Source organism: Homo sapiens, chromosome 8 (genome assembly GCF_000001405.40).
Source record: "Homo sapiens chromosome 8, GRCh38.p14 Primary Assembly".
Lineage (NCBI taxonomy): Eukaryota > Metazoa > Chordata > Mammalia > Primates > Hominidae > Homo > Homo sapiens.
The window spans coordinates 35,374,688-35,389,238 of NC_000008.11; the positions used below are offsets into that span (position 1 = coordinate 35,374,688).

Consider the following 14,551-nt stretch of genomic DNA (forward strand, 5'->3'; position numbering starts at 1 on the left):
TAACAGAGATGGCACATGTATAGCCAGGATCTTCATTGGTTCAGACCTTTTGTTAGGGAAGCAGAACTGGTGACAATTTGGAGTTATAGAACTTTTTAAAAATACATTTTATGGTTGCATAATGCATTGAGAATTAAATGCTGACAGTTTTGTCTGAGATTCTTTGGGGCTCTACTTTAATGAGGAGGTAAGACTAGTTTTAATTAGCAGATCAAATTTTCACATAAACGAACTTTCTAAGAAGAATGAGAAAATTAGTTTTATTATAAGGAGCTAAATGTTCTTTTTACAACATTTTCTATATTATTCATTTTCATAGTTGACTTTTAAAATCCTATATAATAGAAAAGTGGACTTCAGCTAAGGCTTATATCCAAATTATTAAAGCCTGTGATGAACAGTTGAAATTAGTGAGGTTGTTTTACAGGGAAAAATATTTTAAGTACAATCCAGAGCGGGGAAAAAATATTTACATGTAGGTTCATTCCATCTCTGTTGCGTTGAAAGGTGAAGAAAGAAAGCTTTATGAGTTTTCTCTCTGTGTAAGACTCTGTCTGCAGTGGAATCACAAAGTAATTGAACTAAAAAATGTCTGTTAAAGGCACCAAGATAATTAGCATGAGTCACTGAAGTATAGGTTCTTAATGTTCCACACGTTGATCTTTGCTATACTTACAGGTGCTGGGGAAGGAGAGAGAAGAAAAAGAATGTTCAACAAATTCTACATGGGGAAATCAGAGATGGTTAAGAAACCCTCCTCCCGCAGTTGGGCTTTTATCTAATAAAAAAGACAACATGCACACAAAAAAGGAACGTGAGTTACAGTTCAGACCATGCTCAGTGATGGCAAACCAATGCCCATACAATAATAGTAACAAATAAGATTAATGGTGTTGGCTTTACAATCTATATTTAATTTTAACAATGGAATTTCATTTGTTACAAATCACCAACATTTGAGAGAAAGCAATAGAATAAATAAAAGTCATTGAGAATTTTCTTCTCTTATCCAAACTGTTAATTTAGCTGCATTTCATGGAGTCGGCAGTTTCTAAAGCTATAAAGGAATTGTCTGGCAATTGAATTTGTCCCCTTAGTTCAAATGCATTTTTGAAACAAGGAATTATATTTTTAATCCCTTTTGTGTTAGAGCCCAGGGCAGTGCTTGGAATCCCAAGTGCTGATGATTTTTAGATTTTTAATATAATATGATTTTCAATATGAAAATTCCAGATATTCTACCTCTTTATACTCTCCCACCTCCTGAATCTCAGAAGAAATTTGAGATGTTTCCAGACGTTGATTTGGTCAAACTGCAATCTGTATCTTATGGTGCTGAAACCTACTTGTATTATGTGTTTTTTGATCACATACATACAAAATCTTACCACTTTCTATCTCAAGTAAAATTGGAGTTATCAAAACGAATTGAAATGTGCTGTAGTGGTGCTATCTAAAGAGTAAGTGATATGCTGTGTATCATTTGCTTGGGGGAACCCTTTGATTTGGGGCAATCATTTGTTCCATGCATTTTCTTTTTGCACTAGTTAGCAACAGCAACAGGAGAAAAGAGGAGTGTGTTGGAATTCCAAGTCCTTCCTGAAAGTCTTTTACCTAAAAGAAGAGATTATCATACCTTCTGACCACAGGCCAGAGAGAATTTTTACAGAATGATGTATTTGGTGAAGAACGAGTGATCCTGTTTCTGAAAAGTCCCATGTGGTGAGACTAAACCCCGGACCCAGGGGTGAGTGAGTAAACAGTGTAAATTGGGGGTGCCTAGCTTGGTTGGAAAGAACACTGGGCTAAAAAACATAGATGATATGTATGTAGGGAAGCATGTCTATTTAGAGCGAGAATGGAGGAGCAGATGCCTTTTTGGAAGTTTATGCCATTGATAAAAAGAGAGTTGATGAAAATTTGTGGGAAGACATGTCCTAAAAACCCATGATTCCTTTCATACTCCTTGGATGTCACTCCCCAACTTGAAACTTTAGTGATCCCTCCTGTCTAGATAATGGAATCTATTCAAAGCCTTCTGCACTTGGTCCTAACCTTCCTTTGCAACATGCAGTTGCTGTCCACAGTGATCTCTGAACTCTAGCCAGCAACCCTCTTCTCCACACACTTGTTCATAGTGTTCATCCGCCAGGAATGATCACTGCTATGTCACCATCAGTCCACGACTTACCATCCTCTAAGGACCAGCAAAAGTCATATCTTTTTCATAAAAGCATCCTTGAGCCCCTCATCTCATAGTGCACTCCTTCCTCTTTTCTGCTTTCCTTTGGTAAACTTGATTTGTTATTGATTGACTGCTTATTTCTCCTTGCATATTTAATTTACGTATGTGTTGTCATCTTCAGTTGGATATGAGGCTTTTTCACAAGAGCACACCAGGTGGTGTATCATTTTATCTGCTTCTCAGGTCATCCTCTGCATAGTGCCTTGTTGCCTAGCAAATACTCTTTGCGTGCTATATGGATGATGGCAGACCTCCATTACAAAACTATTTGGGGACACTCCAATCTGAGCTGGGATGCAGTGGTCCTTTCACCTGTGTAACAAGGTGAGGCTTTCTTTTAGGATCCTCTCCTGGCTCAGCTTTGGAGTGACTGTTGTCTTGTGCTGTGGAAGTGCAGGTGTCCTATTTGCATTTCAGGTCTTGAAGGAACCTGTGAACACAGCTCCTACTGAGCACAGCTCTCCTGGAAAGCACAGCAGGCAGCACCAGGGCATTGAGTGCTCCGTGTGTCTCTGCAGGGCCCGGGATTGGGGTTATTAAAGCGGAGTGTTTCTGTATTTGCAGCTCAGTGGGAAAGCTCCCCGTGCCACATTCCAGCATGTTGACCTCAGCTTCCTGCTGAGCAGGCTGGGAATGTATCTGTAAACCAAGCTAGGACTGCAGGGACAGCTTGAGTTCCTTTGATTCATCTGCCCTTGTTCCCTAGTTTGTCTGTGTTTACATAGAAAGGTGACAATATATATCAGAGGTGCCCCAGGTGAGGCAAGGGGAAGACATTCGTATCTGTGGGTACTGCTGGATCCCTGTGACATCTTAGGTCGCTTTTCTGAAGGATTTAGGCAAAGGGTCATATCTAGACTTTTTAAAATGAATGCCTCATGTGAGTCATTTGATTTGCTTTATGCACAGTTAGTTTTCCTCTGGAGATAAGTCATCAGTCTGTGTTCTATGTCCTTTATTTCTGTTTTCCTCTTTTAGGAAGCTCATCCTTCATTCTCTCACCATATTGCAAGCATTGCAGTGTCACTCAGAACTTTTCCTGCTTTGTGCTGTCCTCCCCCTAACTCTTTGTATAATGTTTGGTTCCCAGTGATTAGGTGATTACAAATCACTCTGGCTGCTGCTATCTGGTCACTCACATGCCGTCACTCTATGCCCCCAAACCTTTACTGTTTTAAAAAACTCCTCTAAGAGGATAAGCATGCTGGCTTCCTGACTGCGATCCCCTATCTCCTGCCTTATGGAAGCCCTTGTTAACAAATATGATGTACACATGATTTTTCAATACCTCTCCTTTCTAATACAAAGTACCTTATAAATGTTATCTTCTGCTAAAACAGAAAATTTTCTCTTATGATTCATTTTTTACTTAGTGTCAACCCCCTAGTTGTCTTGCCGTACTTCCCTGGAGTGTCTGATCTTCCACATGGGTCCTGGGCACAGCAAAAGGACTTGAAGAGCAAGTAGTGCAAGCCTTCCGTGACATCTATCAGGACACAAAGGGTGCTTCAAGCATTTTTGCAAGACTGCAAGCCTAGGTTGATGTCAAGAGGCTCACCCCCTTCAGTTTGCCCCATATTTGAGACCCTGCCCTACCCTGTGGGTTTGCTACATTTGATGTCTCCTGCCAGAGGTGTGAATCATCCAGCATTCATACTTTTGGCTGCACCTGCCTGATCTTGGCTTGGAATCTGTTTCTCTTCCCTTTTGGAAGCCATGTGGCCACACAGACATGGTGCCTACACCATCAATCCATTAGTTTTAGAACTCATTTTACTATATTTGCCAGTGGAAGCTCTAAAGAGAGATGAAAATTTTGAGCATTTCTGTTATACACCTGAATTGTAAAGGTCCTGTGGCCTAACAGGGTGCAGGATGGATGAGGAATGGAACAGGTGTGGTCTAGAATGGGAATGGTGGGCTGGGGAACTCCTGTAGTAGCCTCAGTCAAATTGCCTTCTCACTGTGTTTCATCTGCACCTTACACTAAAAAGCGAAAGGCAGTGTCTCTGGTTTTGTCAGGTGCAGGAGTGGATGTGATTCAGCAGGTGTCCTTGATGATTGACAAAACCCTAGAAAGGATAGAAGCAAATTATCTGGCCTTATATTTACAGCTACCTCCTGTGTTGAGAAGAATAGATAATTCTTTGGATTTCCTCCATTGCTGACTGGGGAAATAGGACTGCTAACATTAGAGTGGTGGTCTCTTGAGCTGAGGAATGAATAAAAATCCTCTACTTCCACCTGCTCCTTTGACAGGAGATCACCAAAGCCTAGTAACTTATAGTCACACAGCTACCCAGTGAGGACCCCTGACTTTCTCTTCAGTCTTCTAGGACACTGTGCATGTTGCTTAGTTACATTTTAGCCCAATTCCCACCATCCTGATGAAACAGTCCACCATCACCTTTCCCTTCCTTGTTTACTAAGTTGCCACAGCAGCTGCTCCTGAGCCCCGCAAGTTGGAGATCTGAACATCATCTTCACTCTTCTCTTTCTACCCTAAGAGACTGAGTGACCGAGCCACATGATTCTACCATATCTAGAGATGCTGTTGTCTGTTCCCTTTCTTCCATTATCTTACGTCTGTGTGACTCTTTTCTAGAACAACTGCAGGCTCATTCCCTGCAGCTTTCTCTGACTTGCCTGGACCGTCCTGCACTAAATTCCACCGGTGCATCTCTGTGTTCCTATGGACCTATCCCTATCTTTAAGTCTCCCTGGACTCTCTGTGGCACTAGAATATCGACCTGAGAACCCAGGTTAGGAAAACCTGTGACTTAATGAGGGGAAAGCCAAAATTAAGGTTCATAGTTACACAAAGGTGTGTATGAGGAGAGACAAAGGGAGTACTGAGACATCATAAAGTCTAGCTTTGCCTTTCCTAGTAGCCTAAACAAGGTATGTTTTGATATATAAAGCTGCTAATGTTTTGTACATTTATATTATATACTCACATACATTTTTATATATCGTCTTAGGCAGCTCCTGCTTCCATAATGAAGTACTGTAGACTAGGTGGCTTAAACAACAGAAATTTATCTCCCACAGTTCTTCAGGCTGGGACACCCATGATAAAGGCCCCAGCAAGCTAGGTTTTATTCTGAGATCTCCTCTCTTGGCTTGTAGAAAACTCTTAACCTATAATTGGGGGTGGGGGGGGGGTCGGGGAGAGAGAGAGAGAGAGAGAGACACCGAGAGAGAGAGACAGACAGAGACCGAGAGGGAGAGACAGAGACCAAGACGGAGAGACAGAGACCGAGAGGGAGAGAGAGAGAGAGAGAGAGAGGGAGAGAGAGAGAGAGAGTGAGAGAGACCGAGACCTCTGGTCTCTTCACGTAAGGTCCTAGTCCCACTATGAGGACCCCACTCTCTGCATTTAAACCTAATTATTTCCCAAATACCTTGTCTGCTAATACCATCATATTGGAGGTTAGAGCCTTAATATATGAACTTGGTGGGGTGGGGGCATGCAGCATTCAGTACATAGTGTGCACATGTAAACAGACATATATAAACATTATGACACACGTAAACTTTTCCTCATGTTTGAAAGAATGATGTGCTCTCTAAGGCATAATGTTTTATTTAGGGAAATGCTGAAATCTTTTTCCAAGAGATTCCATTTAGGATATGATTTTTATTAATATTGATTATTCTTTTTATTATAATTTCATGCTGTTAGGATTCTGGCCTCTAGATTAGAAAGTCGAAAGCAAAGCTTATTTGAACCTGGTCTCTTCAAGCAGTAAAATTAGAATTTAGATGATAGAGGGTGATTCTGGATGTTACACAATTAGGAATAACATGCATTGACAAAGCAATATGTCAATCTGTATATATTGCGCAGAAACTGATCACTATGTACGCATTGGAATCATCATTCTTAAACCTATAGCATTTTTTATGTCCACTTTAAGGGAAATGAAGCCTTGAAGACAAAGTAATTTATTTGACGTCACACCTGCCAGGATCATGCTTGCCAACCTCTTGCTTAAGGCTCTAAGTATTACCTTCTAATCACTGAATAATGAGTAAAAGGGAACGGTATTGTTTTAACTTCTGTGGATGGCTACAAATGAAGCAGGGAGGGAGGGAGGGAGAGAGAGAAAGAGAGAGAGAGTAAGTGAGTGAATGTGTGTGTGTGTGTGTGAAAAATATTCTTCCAGGAAGAATTATTGATCTAGTTAAATATATAAGGCAGTCAAATTGGTATGATAGCCAGCATTAAAAATCAGCTTCCTAAATGTTCCAAATGAATGGAAGAGAAAACGTCTAGGAATTTGAATGAGATCTGTGTAGGTCGACTGGGATGATAGTGAAAGATTTTATGGAGCAAATGACACTTAAATTTTGCCTTTAGAGTCCAAATAATTTATCTTGTTCTTTTTACCTCTAACTCTTCCAGGGCCCTGAATCCTAGGTGATTTATAACCATAGACTCTCACACTGGAGAGGAGTTGGGCCGGCTACACTGGCTGTGTTAACAGATCCCTTCCAGCTACTGCCTCACACAAGTCCCTTACTCAGTGATTCTGCTTTCCTGAGAGCCTGACATAATCATCAGCTCTGCAGCAGAATCTTCTGCAGACTCAGCTGTGGGCCGTGATTATGTGTCTTAACTATTCTTATTTAGAGTGAGTCATTTAATTCAAGAGAAGATGATCTATATTCTTTTAAGTTTCATTAGTGTCATTAGAATGCTTAATCTCGTGCATGTTTTTTTTCCCTAGTCTGAAGCACTGCCATTAGTTTAGATAGCACTTATTAAATTTTTAGACTGCCAAGCCACTGTGCTAACATGAAATATTGAAGTTTTGCTCCTTTGATTCTAAGCATAAAGTCTTTATCACAAAGCATATAGTCACACTGTGTTTTGCACACCTGCGTAGGCTTGACTTAGCAGAGCCGGTGCCTCCTCTCCTTTTCATGATTTCTTGTCACAGATTTCTGTTGCTTTTGTTTTGTGCCAGTGATTTCATTTCATATTAAATCTTCATTAACTTAAAAAGTGAGAAGATGTAGTACAGAAACACTGCCAGGAGAACCTGTTTGAAAGTTGGATGTGATTTCAAAAGTGAGCATTGCAGCATTTTTAAAGAACACATTTGCCTTTTGGGATTTAAAAATAACTTTGTAATTATGGATTGTTTCAGCACAGATACATTTTTAAGTAACAAGTGCCTGAAAATCCTAACACAGTAGACCCAGCACAAAGCAGTCTGGAATAACCTTGAGGAGTTCACAGTTCTGCACAGACTAAGATAAAATCTGTCAATGTGAATTGAAAGGCATCTAGACGGCTGGAGTTTGAGGTTCTGTGTTTTCCCCTACAGCGGTTGATGACATTTTTTGATATGTAACTCAGGCCAGACAACTGTATTTCTTATTCTGCTTTAGGTGTCTGTGATGTCCTTAGCCAAAGAAGAAAAGAACATTGGAGAGACTTTCAGAATTGCCTCAAGTCATTTTTTCTAAAACTGAACTTGTTCATGGTCTTTAACTTCCACATCTGTGAACAGAGATGCCCCTTATTTTTTTATTTTAAAAAATTTAGCGCTTTCTTTTGCTGGTTTGGGATTTTAAAGATGTATTATTTATAAAAGTACAGTTTTTCATTCACCTTAAAGTTTACTGGCTAAAGTACTTTATCTTTTGTGTTGTCTTGAGATGGGGCTTTAATATTTCATTGGTAATAAATTCCAAAAGATGAATAAGAATTGCAAAGGAGGTTTTTGCTTTGTAGATTTATAGTGACTCTGTCTGGACTTGGCTCCTGCTGTCATATCTCAAGAAGGGCATTAACACTCGCCAGCTTACACACTGCTTGGATTCCAGAATGCTGGTGAGATTCTGCATGCCCCTGGACGGTGACCATGGCTTTGATGTTTCTGTGAAAGTGTATGTTTCACTTTTACATCCTTGGTCATAATTACTTCTCTAGTTTATGGATATTACCTACATTTTCTTAACGCTGTCGTCGTCTACTTTTCACGCAAGTCCCAGGAATTCTGCGGCATAAGGCAGCACAGGCTCAATAAACTTCAGATGTTGGATTAAACCTTGCTTAAAATACTCCCTAGTGCAAAGTACAAGAAAAGGAAGTGCATTTAGTGATGGTTTGACAGCGCTTTACAGTTTAAAGAACACTTTGATATCAATGATCACATTAAAGTAATTCAATAAGAGGGTAATTTACTATCGCCCTGATTTTATAGACAAGGAAACTTCATCACAATGACATTAAATAGTTTGTCCAGCAGCTTACCATTGGTAAAACCTGAGCTCAGGGTAGAACTCATGCCTTTTTATTTCAGGGCCAGTGTTGCTTTCATTACTCTGCCATTTCCTCCATACCCATCACAGACAAATATTCTAGTATAAAAAAAATCCTCATCAAGAGGAAATCTCTATACGTAATATAGTAATTAGATCATGCCCTTGAGAAGCCATAGTCACGTGGAAGGAATGAAGATGACTAGGCAATGCGAAAAGTGTTATTAGAATTAGATAATTGTATACCCATTCCTTTGAGCCTATAGAGGAAAAACTGACTGCTATTATCTTAGAGGTTTCCAGGTAAAACGATCTTTCAACAGGGGCCCAATGAATAAATACACAGATAAAGAGCCTCTAAGGTAGGCAAGAGAGCATAGGCAAACACATAGTGGCCGAGTGAGTGTGGACTGTGGTTGACCACAGGAAGAAGTGGTAGCAAATGAAGCAGAACAGGTGGGCTTTACAATTAATTGCAGACCAAAGCTTAGTTTCCAGTGTATGACCTTGTTTTATTGTTGAAATATCCTAATTTTTAACATGCAGCTAAGTTCATGTGTGTCATGGTGGTAAAACATCAACATTTAAGGCCTGGTGTGGAGACTCACACCTGTAATCCCAGGGCTTTGGGAGGAGGAAGCAGGAGAATTGCTTCAGCCCCGGAATTTGGGACCAGCCTGGGTGACATAACAAGACCCTGTCTCTACTGAAAAAATAAAAATAAGAGGCTGGGCGCGGTGGCTCACGCCTGTCATCCCAGCACTTTGGGGGCCCAGGTGGGTAGATCACAAGGTCAGGAGATCGAGACCATCCTGGCTAACATGGTGAAACCCTGTCTGTACTAAAAATACAAAAAAATTAGCCAGGCATGGTGGCGGGCACCTGTAGTCCCAGCTGCTGGGGAGGCTGAGGCAGGAGAATGGCTGGTGTGAACCTGTGAGGCGGAGTTGCAGTAAGCCGAGATCGTGCCACTACACTCCAGCCTGGGTGACAGAGCAAGACTCCATTTCAAAAAAAAAAAACAAAAAAAAACTAACATTTAAAATAATATGGTCTTATATGTGTATTTATAAAATTAACTCTGTTTCCCACGGTATTTAGAACAGGCTGTGCACCTAGGGGCTCAATGTGTATGTGATTTGACACATGGTACGTACTATAAATATGGGTGCACTCACATGTATGCATTCTAACACGTCTGGTCCAGTGTTGCAGTATCTCTCCTCTCCTGCCCCCTTTAAATTGGAAGGGGTTTGTGTCTTTGAAGTCTTTGCTGACAGAGCCAACCTTGTAAAAGAGCCTTCTGTTGTTAATGCTTGTTTATGCTGTGGAACTTCACTGTTCATTCCCCTAAACCCTTATGGCCTCCTAATGAAATGTAGAACCCTTGATCAAAGTTACACATGGTGGCAATTGCAGAAACCCAAAGTGGGACAAAGAAAAGAAAGAGCTGAGCCAGTGACCCACATTTATAGCTTGTGCCGATTAATTAGCAGGTAAAAATTTCCGTGTATTTCTTTCTCATATTTTAACTTGACAAGCCTAGAGAAGGGCGGTTGATCTACCTGCCATAAGTGTATCTCTGGTCTTCTTTATGACTAAAGGTTTACACTTTTACATCTGTGAGTTGACAGAAGTCTGGCAGCAATGTGGGAGTGTCTAGGCACCCCAGAAGTTGTGGGACTAAACTTTGGAATCTGCATAGAAGGGGAGTCAGTTACATGGGAGCTCTCTGGGAGAGACACTAAAGTTGAGGTGGGGGAACATCAGGTCTAGGTCCTTCATACCGTGTGTTGAAATTATACCCACTTGCTATTTTGAGAATGCCAGTGTGAAGTCACAGGAGACCTTGGCAGGCCGCCATGTAACCTCACTCTTTCCTTAGTGAAGTTTTCTTGGCTTTGCTAGTGCTATGAAATCATAGAAATTAGGGTGGGAAAAGTCTGTTTCATCTGATGATCTCACCCATCCCTTTACTCTCTGGCAGCATGGGGATTACTCCTTATGCTTGATTCTCTAGTGCTTTGTCCAGTCCACTTCTTAATGATGTGAGTGATAATGTATTGATCTTCCCTAGGGCTGAATTTCTTTGGACCTGTTAAAGCTGCCATTCCGCACACAAACTCTGGTAGCACCTAGTTAAGATTCTTCTGCTATCTGAATCCTACATGCCACCAATCTCATAATGGGGATGGTTACTGTATTAGATAGGGTCACACCTGTTGCTTTGTCTTCACATCCCTCTACCTACCTCTTTTTTTTTTTTTTTTTTTTTGTGACAGAGTCTCGCTCTGTCGCCCAGGCTGGAGTGCAGTGGTGCAATCTCCGCTCACTGCAAGCTCCACCTCCCGGACTCACGCCATTCTCTTGCCTCAGCCTCCGGAATAGCTGGGACTACAGGCACCCGCCACCACGCCTGGAGAATTTTTTGTATTTTTAATGGAGACGGGGTTTCACCGTGTTAGCCAGGATGGTCTCGATCTCCTGACCTCGTGATCCACCTGCCTCGGCCTCCCACAGTGCTGGGATTACAGGCGTGAACCCCCACGCCCGGCCTACCTACCTCTTTTTAACAGACAACAGTAGGCACTTTCTTCAGATTTATGCAGAAATTTAGTTAATAAAGAGATGAGTGATTGTCTTCTTTCTAGTTGAAATTGTTTTTCATGGTTCACAATAATTTCTGACATCTTAAACCATATCCAGCTAACAAAATTCTATTTTGTTGTAGTAGATTGCTTCACTTTCACATCTAGATACGATTCCATACTATCTATAATTGATTTCCCTTCTTAATCTACATCTCAGGTGTGTCCATAGCATGAAATAATTGTTGTTCATACTTAAAATTTAAAGGAAACCATACTGCATTTGAAACGCCAACATTCATGCTTAATTTAATCTTTTATTTTTTATTTTTACATCTTTCTCCCAAGTTTCTCTCTTTTCAGTAAAAATTTCTAGGAGTAAGAAGTATTCATAAAGTCTCCTGTCACTGATTTTTTTAAGCCACTTAAACCAAACCCTATCAGAGCATCATTCGCTCCAATTTAAAAATGAACTTTCCAACAAGGAATTATTAAAATTGTTAGCAAATAGAGAAACATGGTATTTCTTTCTATAGACATGTACACACCCCACTCAATTTAAATAGGAAAATCACTCAGCCCTGAGAGCCTGCAAATCAATCGGTTGACTTTCTAAAAGTACCTTATTGTTTTTTTAACTGGAAGATTCAGTGATTTCTTCTGTTAATTGTTTTTTACTAAAGAGAGGCTCAGTGCTGTGAAAGGGAAATCGACTAAAAGCCTGAGGAGGGAAAAAAAACGTCTAGCTTGTAATTTTAGAAGAGCTGTTGCTGTATTGTTAACCAAACTCTGCCTGCACTGGGTGCACGGAATCTCTGACCTATGAAAAATTGTTTGGGTTCCCCCACTTATGTTGTTTGAGCAGTAAAGAAAATATAAATGAAGAAATGGCATTGAAGAGCATCTTGAGTTATTTGTTATCAAAAGTGGCACGCGGGAGGCTTTCCACATTAAATTTAAACATAGGAAATGTCTAAATCTGTGACTGTGGGAAAGGGACAATTTGAGCTTACCTTTCCTTTGAAAGCTGTGGTAGAAAATGCTATAGATAGGGCTTACTTTGCTTTTTTTATTTTTTATTTTTTATTTTTCACTCTGAATTTTTTCTGAAGGTGGTGATGAGGGGGAGTTAAAGATTGGAAATGAGAAGTGACTTATGTTCGTGAATAATGGAATGTGATTTTTGCAGTTTGCAAATGATGGATGGTGAGAAGGAATTCCCCCCCTGCTGTAGTGGCAGCATCAGCATCACCTAGGTGCTTGTTAGAAATGCAGATTCTCAGGCCGGACGCAGTGGCTCACACCTGTAATCCCAGCACTTTGGGAGGCCGAGGGGGGCAGATCACGAGGTCAGGAGATCGAGATCATCCTGGCTAACATGGTGAAACCCTGTCTCTACTAAAAAATACAACAAAAATTAGCTGGGCGTGGTGCTGTGTGCCTGTAGTCCCAGCTCCTCGGGAGGCGGAGGCAGGAGAATGGCGTGAACCCGGGAGGCGGAGTTTGTAGTGAGTAGAGATCGCGCCACTGCACTCCAGCCTGGGCGACACAGCGAGACTCCATCTCAAAAAAAAAAAAAGAGAAACGCAGATTCTCAGGCCCTCTGCGTCCATCTGATGCATTCCCAAGTATGAGAACCCCTGGCTTAAGCAGTTTTCATAGATAAACTTCCCTCCTTTGTCTCCAAAGTGCTTTCTTCACTTGCTCAAAATGCTTCTCTTTTGCTAGTGCTGGAACCTTCTTTAATATTTAATAATTTCAGTAAATAAGAGATAGCAGAGACATACAGAGTTGAGATTCAGAATGGAAATACTTGAGCAGACTACCCGTATTTGACGCTCAGCTAGGCCACTTGATGGCTGTGCAACGTTGAACAAGTTCCTTAACGTCTTTGTCTTTAAGTTCATGTGTAGGATTAGGAGGGTGTCATGATCTTCATATCATCCATCTCAGTAGGATTTAGGAGTACAGGTATTTAGAGAGACAGTGCCTGGGATCCAGTAAGTATGCAAGAAGAATTAGCTATTATTGTAATTATGATTAGCAATAAAAATCATTTGGGAAGAGTCTATTTATTTAGTATTATAGTGGTGTGTAAATGAATACTATCTGCTTCTTTTCTGAAAGGGAAAATTGATCGGCTAAGTAATAAAGAAGAAAAATAATACCAGGTTTCCCAAAGAGCAGGACACTCAAGTGTTGGGAAAAGGCCAAGAATGGGATAAGAAATAGTACTGGGGAGGAATTTCCTTAAGACCTGCTCAGGAATCAGATTTTTATTAAGAAGGAAGTCTTGGTGGGGTGCGGTGGCTCAAGCCTGTAATCCCAGCACTTTGGGAGGCCGAGGTGGGTGGATCACTTGAGGTCAGGAGTTCAAGACCAATGTGGTAAACCCCGTCTCTACTAAAAATACAAAAATTAGCCAGGCATGGTGGCAGGCACCTGTAATCCCAGCTACTCGGGAGGCTGAGGCTGGAGAATCGCTTGAACCTGGGAGGTGGAGGTTACAATGAGCCAAGATCGCACTGTTGCAACTCCAGCCTGGGTGACGAGTGAAACCCCATCTCGAAAAAAACCCAAAAAAACAAAAAAGGAAGTCTCTTAACCAATGGCCCCTTTTCCCTAAGTTGCCTAGCACTGAATCTCCAGTCCACCATACTTGGAGCATGTTCAACATGTAGTTATCAAGGCAGTGTGTTTCCTTATTTTTATAGATATAAAGGTTTAGATGAAAAAGTTCTACCATTTTGCAACAGTAATCCAAATAAAAGGGTTATATGGTCAAACAGATCACGGGCAAGTACATAGTATGGTTGTAGATTTTTGGAGGGCATATATTCATATATAGGCATATTTTCAGCCAATTCAGCTTAATTCAAACATAACTTCTGTGTAAAATCTCCATGCAGTGTTGTGGCTATAAAGATGATGAAAGATAGTCTATGTTGCCAAGATTCTTACATGTCATTTTCCTAAATAGTTGTTATCTTTGGCTTATTTGTCTGATTATTGAATTAAGAAGGACTGATTTGTTCCAGAATGCATTGAATAAACTGTCTTTTGAGGTGAAATTTTGGCATTGATAAGGGAGTTAACTTTTAGGGATGAAAAAATAGAGCTCTAATGTTGAAAGCCTAAGGTTTCCTAGTGAAAATAAGTAAGGCATTTTTTTCAATGTTCATTGACGGTGTTCATTGTCATTGTTTCTGTTTCTTTCACTAATTTCAGAATTGACAAGTGAACTTGGAATCATTTAGGGTTTGTGTATATAGTTATTTCTTATCTGAATGGAAGCAAGATTCTTCACACTTTTTCCTGTGGTTTTCTACACTACATGTGTATCACAACCACTTGTGGAATTTTAAAACATTCAAAACCTTGGGGTCCATTTCTGGAGACTTGTATTCTGCTCTGATGTCTAATGGACATCTAGGATTGAGAA

The 14,551-nt window shown here is 40.6% G+C and overlaps 1 protein-coding gene across 17 annotated transcripts in view, besides 2 other annotated features; it reads left to right on the forward strand.

The window, feature by feature from the left end:
• The window catches only part of UNC5D (unc-5 netrin receptor D), a 561,066-nt gene that overhangs the window by 139,213 nt on the left and 407,302 nt on the right, over positions 1 to 14,551 (forward strand). The gene's annotated exons all lie outside the window — the stretch shown is intronic.
• Positions 2,126 to 2,627: an enhancer, noted in NCBI's record as "OCT4-NANOG-H3K27ac hESC enhancer chr8:35234331-35234832 (GRCh37/hg19 assembly coordinates)". NCBI's record gives its function as "activates a minimal SCP1, AML or CMV promoter by ChIP-STARR-seq in naive H9 embryonic stem cells {active_cell/tissue: H9 hESC(naive)}" and the evidence as "EXISTENCE:reporter gene assay evidence [ECO:0000049][PMID:30033119]".
• Positions 2,628 to 3,127: an enhancer, noted in NCBI's record as "OCT4-NANOG-H3K27ac hESC enhancer chr8:35234833-35235332 (GRCh37/hg19 assembly coordinates)". NCBI's record gives its function as "activates a minimal SCP1, AML or CMV promoter by ChIP-STARR-seq in naive H9 embryonic stem cells {active_cell/tissue: H9 hESC(naive)}" and the evidence as "EXISTENCE:reporter gene assay evidence [ECO:0000049][PMID:30033119]".